The 14176-nt window shown below is 49.6% G+C and overlaps 1 protein-coding gene and 1 long non-coding RNA gene across 8 annotated transcripts in view, besides 3 other annotated features; one reads left to right on the plus strand and one right to left on the minus strand.

Moving 5' to 3' along the window:
- The window catches only part of IGDCC4 (immunoglobulin superfamily DCC subclass member 4), a 41464-nt gene that overhangs the window by 24556 nt on the left and 2732 nt on the right, over positions 1–14176 (minus strand). For all 7 annotated transcript variants that reach the window (NM_020962.3, XM_011521846.4, XM_047432908.1 and 4 more), the window contains exons 2-3: positions 4981–5331; positions 4139–4280 (exon numbers count right to left, since the gene is read on the minus strand). In NM_020962.3, coding sequence (NP_066013.1) covers positions 4139–4280; positions 4981–5331 — 493 coding nt within the window. The remainder of the gene's footprint in view (positions 1–4138; positions 4281–4980; positions 5332–14176) is intronic.
- Positions 4560–5217: an enhancer, noted in NCBI's record as "H3K27ac-H3K4me1 hESC enhancer chr15:65702937-65703594 (GRCh37/hg19 assembly coordinates)". NCBI's record gives its function as "activates a minimal SCP1, AML or CMV promoter by ChIP-STARR-seq in primed H9 embryonic stem cells {active_cell/tissue: H9 hESC(primed)}" and the evidence as "EXISTENCE:reporter gene assay evidence [ECO:0000049][PMID:30033119]".
- Positions 8685–9552: an enhancer, noted in NCBI's record as "OCT4-NANOG-H3K27ac-H3K4me1 hESC enhancer chr15:65707062-65707929 (GRCh37/hg19 assembly coordinates)". NCBI's record gives its function as "activates a minimal SCP1, AML or CMV promoter by ChIP-STARR-seq in naive H9 embryonic stem cells {active_cell/tissue: H9 hESC(naive)}" and the evidence as "EXISTENCE:reporter gene assay evidence [ECO:0000049][PMID:30033119]".
- On the plus strand, positions 9289–13530 carry LOC124903510 (uncharacterized). The gene is made up of 2 exons (XR_007064684.1): positions 9289–9811; positions 10810–13530. It is a non-coding gene; the product is annotated as an uncharacterized LOC124903510 (long non-coding RNA).
- Positions 11759–11969: a silencer, noted in NCBI's record as "fragment chr15:65710136-65710346 (GRCh37/hg19 assembly coordinates)". NCBI's record gives its function as "represses an EF-1alpha promoter that drives an FKBP-Casp9 reporter gene in an ReSE screen in K562 erythroleukemia cells {active_cell/tissue: K562}" and the evidence as "EXISTENCE:reporter gene assay evidence [ECO:0000049][PMID:32094911]".

A 14176-nucleotide genomic window follows, 5' to 3' on the forward strand; every position in this document is an offset into this window, starting at 1 on the left:
AATGGTAACCACTGGGAGAGGGTAGGGCCGGAGCCCATGTTATTTAAGTCCCTTAGTTCCATGTTTCTTAAAATGTGAGTGAATGGCGATAACAAAATGATTTCAAGTGGATCCAGATACATGGCTTTTTATCCTAGAAGTTACATTATTTATTTTTATGGCTATCTTCTATTTATGGCAAGTGTTGCTGGTTTTCCATTTTATTGCAGTGAGATAATGTTCCCTTTTAAAATGTGTTCAAGTTACGAAAGAGCGAGTTGATGTAAAGAAAATTATGAAGTGGTTGTGTAAATGGTATAAGTATGGTCACAATTATGAAGGTGGTTTTTGAATACCTGGGATTTGGGAAACATTGCTCTCATTGATTACTAGTTCCCATGAAAGAAAAATTATCCCCTAGATTATCCCCTATTATTAGAAAATAGTATGAGTACCGGGGATTTGCCTTGGGGTCTAGTCTTTACCATCAGTTCCAAACGAAGCACATACACCCTGACGCAGTGTGTTTATTAACTGCACATGTGCCACGTTACACCAAGGCATACGGTCTCCTTCAAACCACTGGGCTGAGTTTATGAATAGCATATTTGTGCATGCACTATATCTGGGCATGTGTAAAAATACATACCTTGGGCATAATCAAGTTGCTGTTTTAGACATTTCTTTATTCCCCCCACACAATGTGCCGGGACATGCGAGCCTAGCTTATTTATAGATGAGGATCACTTTTCAGAGGACTTGGGGGCAAACACTCCCAGAGTCCAAAAACTGGCAGCTCTGGCCTCCTGGGTTAGGTTTGTGGCTTCACGGGATGACGCCTGAGCTAGACGTTGGGGGTGGTGGGGAGGTCTGAAACCCACTGGTGTGCTGAGAAGCTTTGGGGAAGTAACTTCTCTGCTCCCAGCCACAGTTGGACTACAGATTTCTAAATCCACCATTAATTTTTTAAAAAATTAAAGTTGTAATGTGATACAAACTTCTTCAGACCTCACAGGTTCCGCACCCAGCCACCAAATGACACCTACCAGAGGCCTGTGTATCCTCCACGCAGGTCGCTGGAGTCTGACACTCTGAGTACTAAGCTGTGTGACCTGGGGCAAGTTATTTCTGCCTCTGATCCTCCAATCCCTCATTTAACAATCCAGATAAAAATACCTACCATATCCATATGTACAGACCTGGAAGGATGTTTATCAAGTGGTAAGTGAAAAAAAAATTAAAATTGCAACATAATCCCATTTTTGTTTTTGAAAAAAAAAAAAGATGATTCAACAAAAAACCTAGTATGTACAATATAATTTATTATTATTATTATTATTCTGAGACGGAGTCTTCCTCTGTCACCCAGGCTGGAGTGCAATGGTGTGATCTTGGCTTACTGCAACCTCTACCTTCTGGGTTCAAGCGATTCTCCTGCCTCAGCCTCCTGAGTAGCTGGGTTTATAGGCGCCTGCCACCATGTCCAGCTAATTTTTGTAATTTTGGTACAGACGGGGTTTCACCATGTTGGCCAGGCTGGTCTTGAACTCCTGACCTCAGATGATCCACCTACCTCAGCCCCCCAAAGTGCTGGGATTACAGGCGTGAGCCACTGCACCTGGCCTAAGTTTTGTATTTTCATTCCAGCCTGGGTGACAGGTGAAGTGGCTCAATTTTGGCTCACTGCAAGCTCCACCTCCCGGGTTCAAGTGATTCTCCTGCCTCAGCCTCCTGAGTAGCTGGGATTACAGGCATGCGTCACCACGCCTGGATAATTTTTGTATTTTTTTTTTTTTTAGTAGAGATAGGGTTTCACCATGTTGGTCAGGCTGGTCTCGAACTCCTGACCTTGTGATCCGCCCGCCTCAGCCTCCCAAAGTGCTGGGATTACAGGCGTGAGCCACCGCGCCCGGCCTAAGTTTTGTATTTTTTGAGAGATGACATTTCACCATATTGCCCAGGTTGGTCTCTAACTCCTGAGCTCAAGCGATCCGCCCGCCTTGGCTCCCAAAGTGTTGGGAGTACAGGCGTGAGTCACCGCGCCCAGCCATATTGATATGAATTTTAAAAATGCATCTGCTGGAATATCAATTAAAAGTAAATAGAGGAAAATGTGAAAATAAGAAATACCTACATTAAAGGATGATTGGAAGGGTTAAGTGAGAAAACATGTAAAAGGCTCAGCACGTGCCTGGCCCAAGGTACACTCCCATTAAGTGGTTCATGTTGTGACTTTCAACATGGGGAGATTTTGCTGCCTTCTGCTACCCTCTCTGGGGGGCATCAGGAGTAGGCTCTCGCGTGGTTCTCTCCTGCCTAGCTCATCTGTTCTGGGTTCATGGAACTCCCAGGAGGCACCCATCATCACACAGTGGTGACAGGCTCCACATTTAGAAAGGCACAGAACTTCAAATGTCAGTGTTAGAAAGGCTGGGTCAGCATTTCCCAGGGTTCACCCTCTAGAATGCTCATTCATGGGATGTTAAGGGGCTCCTGGGCAAACGAGCCTAGGAAGTGCTTCGTTAAACAAGGTCAACAGGATTCTCGATACAGCACTTCTCAGGGCCTTGCCAACTCCAGGAGGGAGATTTACAGGCAGTTTCCTGTTCTTATTTGATCATAGAATACTTCATTCAAGAAGCATTTAAAGGGACTAACATTCTATAAAGGCCACGCTTTGGGAAACCACAATCTAAATCAATTTTCATTTGTTTCCCCCTTTCATTTTATAGGTGGGAAGGAGAATAGACTGGGTGAGAAGTGACTCTCTGAGGACCAGTGGGGCTAACCCATCACCAAAGTCAACAGGATGTCTCTCTCTTTTTTTTTTTTTTTTTTTGAGACAGGGTCTCGGTGTGTCACCCAGGCTGGCTGGAATGCAGTGGCATTATTCCAGCTCACTGTAGCCTGAACCTCCAAGTGATCTCGCTCAGCCTTCCAAGTAGCGGGGACCACAGGCACCACACTGCCACACTGGGCTAATTTTTGTATTGTTTTATAGAAACTGGGTTTTGATATTTTGCATAGGCTGGTCTTGAACTCCTGGGCTCAAGTGATCCTCCTGCTTCGTCCTCCCAAAAGGTTGGGATTACAGGCATGAGTCACCACACCCAGCCAGGATCTCTTATGTATGGACCTCTCACCCTCTTCCTCCCTCACAACTGTCCTGTGGCTTTTCTACCCCGAAGTTTCTCCTACAACCCCCATCCTTACCTACACATGGGCAAAAGTCAGAGGAGCTGGGACAATGCAACACAGGCAACAGAAGGTTGGATCCAGGGGAGAAAGGGCAGTGTTTCAGAGCCCAAGGAGCCCCACCTCCACCAGGACGGGAGAAGGATCTAGCTGGTAACTACAGCTACCGAGATATAGGGAGAGGACTGCAGGGTGGCTGGGAAAGGCCTTGGAGCCACATTTCCAAAGATACGTAAGAATCCAGGGGGTGATGACTGAGTCATGAGACCAACTCAGAGACCACAGATGCAAATGAGCCTTGTGGTTTCTGGTACGCTGCATACACATCTGGACCTACCCAGGAAGCCACAAGAGGGACCAAGTCCAAGGTCTAGCCTCTGCTTCCCTTCCGCCTTGGAAACTCTTCCCTGGGATTGCTCTACCCATCCATTGCCTTTACAGGGAAAGAGGAGAGTGAAAGAGGAAAGACCTCTACAATTCACTTCTCAGAGGGCTACGCCCCACTGGATGGAATTGAGAGAGGAAGAGAAGTTATGCATCTAGAGTGGAAACTCCGGAGGAACCCTGAAAAGAGAAAACCTTCCCAGCAGCCTCGGGGAGCCCTCAACAGACAACCAACATTCTGCCAATGGCTCATGGTACGGCTTGGGATAAGCCACAGCTCCTCTCTGGCCTTCAGTCTCCACAATAAAGCAAGTGGTTGGACTAGATGTGCTGGGAAGGACTCTACTACTACACCTACCCAGGCTCCACAGCTCAATGGGTGGCTTCCTCCCAGGGAGCAAAAACTTCTTGTCCAACTTCTCTTTGGGACTAGACATGAGCCAGGAGTCAGGCGGTGGTTAACACTCAAGTCAGCTTAGGTAAATGCAGCTACCTCGACTCTAAGAATCTCAGTTCTGAGCACACCCCAGAGCCCTCTCTGCCCTGCCTACCAGGACCCGCTCCCCTACAGGGCACTCACCGAGGCTCCTCAGGCAATGTCACCTGGTCCTTCTCCCAAGTAATGATGGGAGCTGGCAGCCCTTCAATGTGGCACTCAAAGCGAGCTGTCCCGTTCTCCTCCACCGTCTGAGACTCCGGGTGCAGAGAGAAGTCTGCGAGTGCTGGGGACAGTGAGACACAGGCAGGGACGGGAAAAGAATAGGAGAGAGAAGCCACAGCAAGCACAAACAGTGAAACACATCCGCATGGAGACACAGAAACACACAGTCACAGAAACACACAGCAGAGCCAATTCAGACCGAGGGAGACACAACAAGAAGTGGTGATTAGCGGTCAGATACTGCCAGCAGAATGAATTCCAAAGCCCCCCTGCCCAACATCATCATGATGGTCAAACTATACAGTAAGATGCACACTTCTTCTGGCCTGAAAGTTACTTCATGGTGATCTGTGCCTCCTGAGAGCCCCCTAAGGGGTAAGGCTGGAGCGTGGGGTTTGGCTCCACATGTTCCACCTGCCGTGCAGGCAGGAGCTCCCTTAGGAGGCAGCTTTGTGCCTCTGACACAAAGGGGGCACTCTGGCAGGCTCCCTGGAGGACAGCACAAGCCCAGACTCTAGGACTCAAAGGGAAAGAAAAGCAGAAGGAACAGGGGAGTGGAGAAGAAGCGGGAAGATTATGGAATACCCAAGAATGAGGATAGACAATACCAGGAAGAGACCTATTGAGCAGGATGGGAGGCAGGGAAAGGGGGAGTGGGATCAAGAGAGAGGCATTTGTGCAAGTAACTAACTGCAGATCCCACTTCGCACACCCCAAGTCTGGGTTTCAGCCTCAGACCCCCGCCCGATGCAAGCACTTACTGGCAAGCTTGACGACAGCAGTCTGGCTGGCCAGCACTCCGAGGGGGCCGTGGGCTAGGCACGAATAGTTGCCTTCAATGACCCCCACAGCCTCAGGGACTGACTCGTCACTGCCATTGGGTGCTAGTGGCTGGGACAGCCACAGGGAACCATTGGGCAGCAGGTGTAAGTGGTCGTGCTCCAGCAGGGTGTCCCCATCCTTGCTCCAGGTCACCCTGGTGGGGGGTCCAGCGGCAGCAGCCCCCAGGCTACAGTTTAGCACTGCAGCCTGCTCTGGGCCCAGGATCACTTGCAGTGGCCCCACTCCACAGCTCAGCTCCACAGTCGTCTCCTGGGGCAACAGCAGCTCCCCTGCATAGAGGAGGAGCACGGGGCCATCAGTGTATGTCCCCCCACCTCCCACAGCCTCTGCTCCTGAGTCACCCATGCAGGGGCTGGGGCAAATCAAGGAGAAACACCTGCATCTGGATCCTGGCTCTCCCCTTACTAACTGTGACCTTGGACAAACTGCTGCATTCCTCTGTGCCTGTCTTCCCCTGCTGCTCAATTTCCTCATAGCAGCATTATTCATAATAGCCAATGAGTGGAAACAACCCAAAAGCCCATCACCTGATGAATGGATAGATTACTCAGCCATCAAAAAGAATGAAGGACTGATGCATGCTACAAGGTAGCAAGAAAACTTGACGCTAAGTGAAGGAAGCCAATCATAAGATGCCACATTTTGCATGATCTCATTTCTACGAAATGCCCAGAGGAGGCAAATCCATAAAGACAGAAAGTGGATTAATGATTGTCAGTGACTGGGAGGAGGAAGGACAGAGAGTGACTGCTAATGAGTACAGGGTTTCTTTTGGGGGTGATGAAAATGTTCTAGAATTAGATAGTGGCTGTGGTTGCACAACGTTGTGAATATGAATATACTAAAAACCACTGAGTTGAACACTGTAAAGGGTGAATTTTGTAGTACGTGAATTGTCTCTCAATTAAAAAAGCATACCAGCCTGGGTAACACAGAGAGACTCCGTCTCTACAGATAATTTAAAAAGTTAGCTGTACATGGTGGCACAGGCCTGTGGTCCCAGCTACTCAGGAGGCTGAAGCAAGGAGGATCGCCTGAGCCTAGAAGTTCCAGGCTACAGTGAGCCACGATCACGACACTGCACTCCAGCCTGGCTGGCAGAACGAGACTCTGTGAGAAAAGAATATAGTGGCTGGGTGCAGTGGCTCACACCTGTAATCCCAGCACTTTGGGAGGCCGAGGCAGGTGGATCATGATGTCAGGAGTTCAAGACCAGCCTGACCAACATGGTGAAACCCCGTCTCTACTAAAAATACAAAAATTAGCCAGGCGTGGTGGCACGCACCTGTAATCTCAGCTACTCAGGAGGCTGAGGCAGGAGAATCTCTTGAACACAGGAGGTGGAGATTGCAGTGAGCCGAGATCGCCCCATTGCACTCCAGCCTGGGTGACAGAATGAGATTCCATCTCAAAAAAAAAAAAAAAAAAAAAAAAAAAGCACAGTGCCTGACACAGAATGGGAGCTCAGTAATGTCATTCCCTACCCTGGAACCTAACAGATCATATTGATCATTATTACCCAATCAAAAATATGCCACTGGAGGCCAGGCATGGCAGCTCACTCCTGTAATCCCAACACTTTGTGAGGTTGAGGGCCAAGACAGCAGGATTGCTTAAGCCCAGGAGTTTGAAACCAGCCTGGGTAACACAGGGAGACCTCATCATTATAAAAAAAAATTTTTTTAATTAGCCAGCTGTGGTGGGAGGATCCCTTGAGCCCAGAAGGTCGAGGCTGAAGTGAGCTGTGATTGCACCACTGCACTCTAGCCTGGGTAACAGAGTGAGATCCTGTCTAAAATACATACATATACATATATAGATCTCTCTCTCTCTCTCTCTCTGTACACACACACACACACACACACAGGCTAGAAAAATACCATATCCAAGAAACATTTAAAATGTATTATAAGTGTGAGAAAATGTGTGTGTGTGTGTGTGTGTGTGTGTGTGTGTGTGAATACTATATATTTTGAATGAACAAAACAAAAATAAGTCCCAGCTGTTTGGGGGAGCCACCTGGATGAAGGAAAGTCAGACATTCCCCCTTCCCCAACAATGAACTAAGTGAGCAGATCCTGCTGGGAATTGTTAAGTGCCCCAGGTAGGGACTAGACTCAAGCTGGATTCAGACCCAGCATGAGAGGAGGCTCACATGGCTCATTCCAGGCCCTGGCAGCCCACAGCCTGGTCTGTACTGGTGACTGGAGAAGCTCAACACTCCCTGCAGCTAATTTCCCCAAGGCCATGCAGGAGGCCAGAGCCAGGACTCAGGTCTCCTGACTCAATCCAGGGTTCTTTTTTCTCCCAAGGCCCCAGAGGAACCTACAGACCCCAACACTGCCCTTGCCACAAAGGGAAGAGTAGGGAAACAGTAGAGGAAGGGAATGCCATCCCAGGGTCAAGGCAAAAACACACAAAAGCCAATGTTTATTATTGGAACCAATGTTCTGCAGGGCCCAGCCACCATTATTCATAGACAAATGGTTGGTTCTCCCTGTTGTGTCTTCCAGAAGGTTGACCTGCTGCCTCCTTGTCTTATAAAAGCTCAATGGCCCAAGGTCCCTTCTTAGGCTCTGGTCTGACTCCTTACTTTAAGGCAGAATGGCATGTCTGAGAGGAACCAGGGCCAGAGGTCAGGACAATGGCCCATACTCATCACAAGGCAGGTCTGGGCTGACAGAGCCACGTGGGGACGTGCACAAAACAATGGCGAGGGAATCAGGAGACCCTCGGTTCTAGATCCAGCTCCATCACAGTCTAGCCATGTGGTTTTGGCCCAGTCATTTCCCCTTCTGGGCCCCAGCTCACTGGAATGTAGCAGGTGACCTCTGAGATGCTATGATTCTATGATTATTCACGACATGGACACACCTATTCCTGAACAAACATAAAACACCATTGAGACCACACACAAATTGGTAAACATAGCTCTGCACTCCTAAACACATGCGCCTCAGTCTCTGCCACACTCATCAACACTTGGACACACAGGTCAACATTTAGAAGCCCTGTGAGTCTCCAGACTCCCTTCCCACCAGCTCCAAAGAGGAACAAGAGTGAGGGGAGAAGAGCAGTGATGGCTGCGTGAAATAAGGAGGCCAGGGCCTGGGATTGCAGTGTGAAGGGCGGACGGAGAGACAGGACCTGACCTGGGCTGCTGCCTTTCTTAATTCATCAGATGGTTTCTGCTGGACACCTCTGGCTTCACAACTAGTCTCAGCAGTACTCGCGGGCTCAGCAGGGAGAAGCAGCCCCTGCCCTCACCAAGTTTGCATTCTAGTTGGGGAAACCAATCTGGCATTCACACTACTGCGGGCCACGTGCTGTGGTGGAAACAGCTTTTGACCTTGGGGAAGAAGATCAAGGTTTCAGTCTTGCTGCTCCACCTACCAGCTCTGTGACAAGCCACTTAACTTTTCTGGGACTCAGTTTCCACATGAAGATGATACCACTAAGCGTGAAGGAATTAAACAAGACAATGTATGTCAGGGCTACAGCCCAGAGCCTAATAGACATCACTCAAGGAATGGGAGCTTATTCTTTGTTTGTTTGTTCTTGCGACAGTTGTGCTCTGTTGCCCAGGCTGGAGTACAGTGACATGATCTCAGCTCACTGCAACCTCCACCTCCTGGGTTCATATGATTCTCCAGCCTCAGCCTCCTATGTAGCTGGGATTACAGGCATGCGCCATCACACCTGACTAATTTTTGTATTCTTAGTAGAGACAGGGTTTCACCATTTTGGCCAGGCTGGTCTTGAACTGCTGACCTCAAGTGATCTGCCTGCCTTGGCTCTGGAAGATCACGCCTTGGCTCTGGAAGATCCAGTGCTCTGGAAGAGCACATCCAAAGTGCTGGAATTACAGGCATGAGCTACCATGCCCGGCGGGGAGCTTATTCTTTAAAGGCACTTTGTAACTATAAAGGGCTGTACAAGTGCTATTTGCTGTTCTTATCATCCAGTCCCTTCTATCTCTAAGGCCCTAGATGCCATGATTCAAGTACAGGGTAGGAGGAAGGCAAGCCCGGCTCTCAGTCCAGTGGCTTCCAAATGCCCATTCCAGCCACTAAGCAGTAGGTTTGGGTTTCAGGGGAGAAAACCCCCAAAGGACACAAATCCCTGAGCCCTCCGGCAGCCTCCCTGCCCCCTAAAGCATGTCCCAGGCTTGGAAAATCCCCTGCTGCGTTGAACAAACAATGTGAACAGTTGGGGCCCGAGCAGCTGCTGGGTATGTCAGCAGCCTGGGCTCTGGCAGGCAGGACGGCCGCCAGAGGGGCTGGCGGCTGGCTGGGGAGCCCAGAGGAGGCTCCGATTCCCTTCCTGAATATTCATGGATCAGCAGATGTCTGGCTTCCCCACCTCTGAGGAGCTCAGCAAGGCAGGAACAGGGAAAGCAACAGGAACGTAGACACAGAGAGAAGACGGGGTCCCCCTCAGAGAGCAGCAGTGCTGTGCCAGGAGCCCAAGACAGCCCATTTTAGTGGAAACGTCTGTGAAGCCTGAGAATCCTCATTCCACAGATGGGGAAACTGAGGCCTGGGGAGGGGTCTCATCTCTGTGGAAGACAGTCTGGGAAAACTGCCCTTCTTTGACTTTTTGGGGATGAACCAGCATTGAGGAGACAACTGCTCCTGAATAAGAGGGTTCTCTCTGCCTCTGTGCTCAACCTGATTTCTGTGCCCAGGAAGCGCATCCTTAGGGACTCACGTGCCAGCCCTTCTGTGAGGCTGCTCCTACCTTCCCCAGGTAAAGTTTTTCCTAAGTCTCACACTGAAAACCACTTGCAGGTCCCTTACTCTTGCCTAGACAGACAAGGGGGTGTGGTGGGACAAGCCTGGCCTCAGAGTCCTGGGTTCTAAGTCCAGTCATTCATTGCATGACCTTGTGTGAGCTACTTTTGTCCTTTCAGCCTCAGTTTCCCCAATTTTAAAATGAGAAGTCTCCAAACTTCTCAAACGTTTTCACCCAAATTCTCTCAACAGCAGAGGAACACATATTTACGAGGCTCGCTGACTGCCTAAAATGTTTTGACTTTTTTTTTTTTTTTTTTTTTTTTTGAGACTCGCTCTGTCACCCAGGCTGGAGTGTAGTGGCGCAATCTCGGCTCACTGCAAGCTCCGCCTCCCGGGTTCGAGACATTCTCCTGCCTCAGCCTCCCGAGTAGCTGGGACTGCAGGCGCCCGCCACCATACCCAGCTAATTTTTTGTATTTTTAGTAGAGACGGGGTTTCACCGTGTTAGCCAGGATGGTCTCAATCTCCTGACTTCGTGATCCGCCCGCCTCGGCCTTCCAAAGTGCTGGGATTACAGGCATGAGCCACCGCGCCCGGCCAAACCTCTAGCACATTTTGCATTCTGCTCCATAACACAGCAATATTTGTTTTAATATAAGTGTGGCTCCCATACCACCAAATCTTTTCATAAAAGCGATGCTCTGGGGAGGGGACCTTATTTGTCCAGGAGCTTCATGGCCAGCGCTTACTTGCCACCCCCAGCCCACTGTCATGGCTGACCCCCAACATTTTTAGCCCTCCCTCTCAGTGCCGGGGTGGACACATTGCAGGTGCCCAGTGGACACTTGCTGCCCGCTGGCTTTCTGTCTTGAGGGGGCCACCCCTCCCATAATCCCTTCTCCTCAATCTCCTCAGTGAGACCCTGTCAGAGACACAGAGCTGCTGCATTTGGGAACCCTAGGGCCACCTCTCAATCTCCTTTTTCTGACAGATTATTTTACCCACTTACAGGATAAACTGGATTTTATGAGGCCAATTAGAACCCAGACAGAAAGGAGATTCGCTGCTGAGCTCCAGGGCCAGCTCAATGCTGTTTCGTGGGATTAGTGGAGGCCTGGCGTGAGTTCCATTTTTCAGTGAATTCTTAGGGAAGGGGCGTGTAGCTGGGGGAGGGGAACAACGAGGCCAAGATGGCTCCTTTATTAAGCCAGGAACTTGCCACAAACATCACATCAGTGCCTCCTCACTTCTGAATTTCAGGGCCCAACAGATTTACTACTTGTTTGCAGCCCAGGAGAAATTCTCCACGACACCATCACCATTCTCCTTTCCCAGAGAACACAAGTCGGTTCCTTCCAGAAACCTTCCTTCCTGCCCCCAACCTTGGCCACCTCCCTTACCACATGCTGAGCCCCTCCCCCCAACAGCTGGAAGGAGAGTTGGGACAGTTGCCTGGGACACAAGGAAGGCCTCAGCTCTCCCTTCATCTGCAATCCTGAGGGGAGAGTCTCAGCCTCAGCCTATCCAACAGCAAAGCCAGGCTCAGCTTGACCTGCCTATCTCCCGCTCCCCTGAGACCCTCTACCCCTCCACACACAGCAAACCATGGCCAATTCTCTGAAAACACATCTTGTTCCACGCATTGCTGGTGCTGCTCTCACTCCCTAGAACAGCTGTGATGTCCCTGGTTGATTTAGACACCTCTCCTTTTTCTGCCCCGTAGAACGCTGGCACCCCCATCATCGCAGTTATCACTCCAGATTTTTTTTGCGGGGGGAGACGGAGTCTCACTCTGTCACCCAGGTTGGAGTGCAGTGGCATGATCTCGGCTCACTGCAACCTCTGCCACCCAGGTTCAAGTGATTCTCCTGCTTCAGCCTCTTAAGTAGCTGGGACTACAGGTGTGCGCCACCATGCCTGGCTAGTTTTTGTATTTTTTGGTAGGACGGGATTTCACCATGTTGGTCAGGGTGGTCTCGAACTCCTGACCTCAAGTGATCCGCCCACCTTGGCCTCCCAAAGTGCTGGGATTACAGGAGTGAGCCACCATGCCCAGCCTTCACTCTAGGTTTTTGACTTGCCTTTCTCCTCAACTAGGCACCAAAGTCTTGGGGTTATGTCTTAGCTTTCTAAATCCTCGGTACCTGGAACAGTGCCTAACACACAGTAGGTGCTCAATAAACATTTCTTGAATGGATGAGTGAACCCATGAAGACATCCTCAAAAAGATAAGGCATAGAGCCCCCTATGCTTTTCCAAGCATCAGTTTCCTTATCTGTAAAAACAACAGTAACTCCCTTCAGGGCAAGAAAGGATGTCAGGAAGACATGTGGAAACTGCCTAGCACACTGCGTGGCACCCAGTAGACATGACATGCTTGAAAAGCAGAGATAGAACAGCTGAAGTCCACACTGAAAGAAACCCTGTACTTAAACATGACCAGGCTGGGGAGATCACTACCTTGCCTGTTCTCTTGCTGTATGGCTCATATGGTTAAAAAATTTATTTCTCTTGTGCCCACCTGTCTCTCCCAGTACTTTCTGCTCACTGGCCAGAGCTTTGTCCTGCAAACTATCTAACAAGGTCATAAGTCCCTTATAGAACCATCCAGGAGTCTTGGGTCTGCACCTGAAGGACAGCTTATTGGTCCTTGCTTCCCTGATCCCAAGGACCCCATGGGCCCCCAAATCCAAAGGATACCTCACTCAGCCTCAGCAGTGAGGCAGTAGTAGCTGGCAGCCCAGTTGGCACAGGTAACAGGGTTTGATTTCTCTGCATGTCAGGCTCCAAAACATACTCTCTGGTTTTCCTTCCCTGGCCCCCTAGCTCCTGTCACCCACCTCTGACCAGGCTGGGGTCCTCTCCCTCAGAGCCATGCTTACTCCTCCCCCTGCCCCCAAGCCTGCCTGGTAATGACATCTGCTCTGCATCTGGAATTCCGTATCAAGTCTGGTTGCTGTACCATGGGAGAGAATAGAAAGAGGTGGGGGGGGTTAAGTGGAGGAGGGTGGATTCCAGAGCCCAGATAGACCCACTTGAGAGGGAGAGCATGAAGCTGATAACGTCTCAGAAGGTATAGAGGAGTGCAAAGAGAGTGAACTTGGGTATCCCTAGAAAGGGTGGCCCCATTTCAGTCCCTAATCATGTAACTTTGGGAAGTCACTCAGTTTTCTCATCTGTAAAAACAGGTTCATGCTAAAATTGTTTCTTCTTTTCTTTCTCTTTCTTCTTTTGAGACAGAGTCTCACTCTGTTGCCCAGGGTGGAGAACAGTGGTGCGAGCCATCATAGCTTACCACAGTCTTGAACTCCTGGGCTCAAGCAATCCTCCCACTTCGGCCTCCTGAGCAGCAAGGACAACAGGGAACACCACCATGACCGCCATGCTTTTTTTTTTTTTTTTTTTAATTTTTCGTAGAAATGAGGTCTCAATATGTTGCCCAGTCTGGTCTCAAACTCAGCTCAAGCGATCCTCCTGCCTCAGCCACACAAAGTGCTGGGATTACAGGTATGAGCCTGGCCTGAAATTATTTCTAAGTTCCTCTCAGTGCTGACATTCAATGATGCGCTAATTGTGAAATTGCTTCACTTGAAAGAGATATGTTTAGGAGAAAAGAAATGCTAATTAACATGTAAATGTGTGTTTAATTGAGTCATGAAAGCACATAGAGGATCAATGAAGGTTTAGGTATCTTCTGGATAAGATTCATTATTAAAAGAAACTCCAACTGTTTGACCTGATTCCTAACTTCCAAGATGGGGAAAGAGGCCCACCCCAAATGACTGAGATTGGCCTCTGAGCCTCTGGGCTGAGAAAGGGATGGGGGAGGTGAGGAGTTCCCAGGTGAGGAGAAAGCTCTCAAGTTCTTAGAGGCCTCCCATTACTGACCTCTAGGTTCCCTACCCTCCAAATTCTGACTTGGGAAGAAGGGAGAGCCGAGAGCCCCACCTTTGTGCGTGTGATAAGAACAGAGCTCGGCTTCTCGCCACCTGTTCACAAAGGGGTCCCAGTCCCTGACTCAAGAACAGTGTTGGGAGGAGATGGGCAGGCACAGGCATTATCCTAACCCCAATACCAGCCCTTCATTCTGCCTCATGTTTTTTTGTTGTTGTTGTGTTTGTTTTTTTGAGACAGAGTCTCACTTTGTCGCCCAGGCTGGAGTGCAGTGGCGTGATCTCAGCTCACTGCAACCTTCACCTCCCAGGTTCAAACGATTCTCGAGTCTCAGACTCCCGAGTAGCTGGGATTACAGGCATGCACCACCACACCTGGCCAACTTTTGTATTTTTAGTAGAGATGGGGTTTCACCATGTTGGCCAGGCTGGTGTTGAACTCCTGACTTCACGTGATCCGCCCGCCTTGGCCTCCCAAAGTGCTG

The sequence above is a fragment of the Homo sapiens genome, chromosome 15 (assembly GCF_000001405.40).
Source record: "Homo sapiens chromosome 15, GRCh38.p14 Primary Assembly".
NCBI lineage: Eukaryota > Metazoa > Chordata > Mammalia > Primates > Hominidae > Homo > Homo sapiens.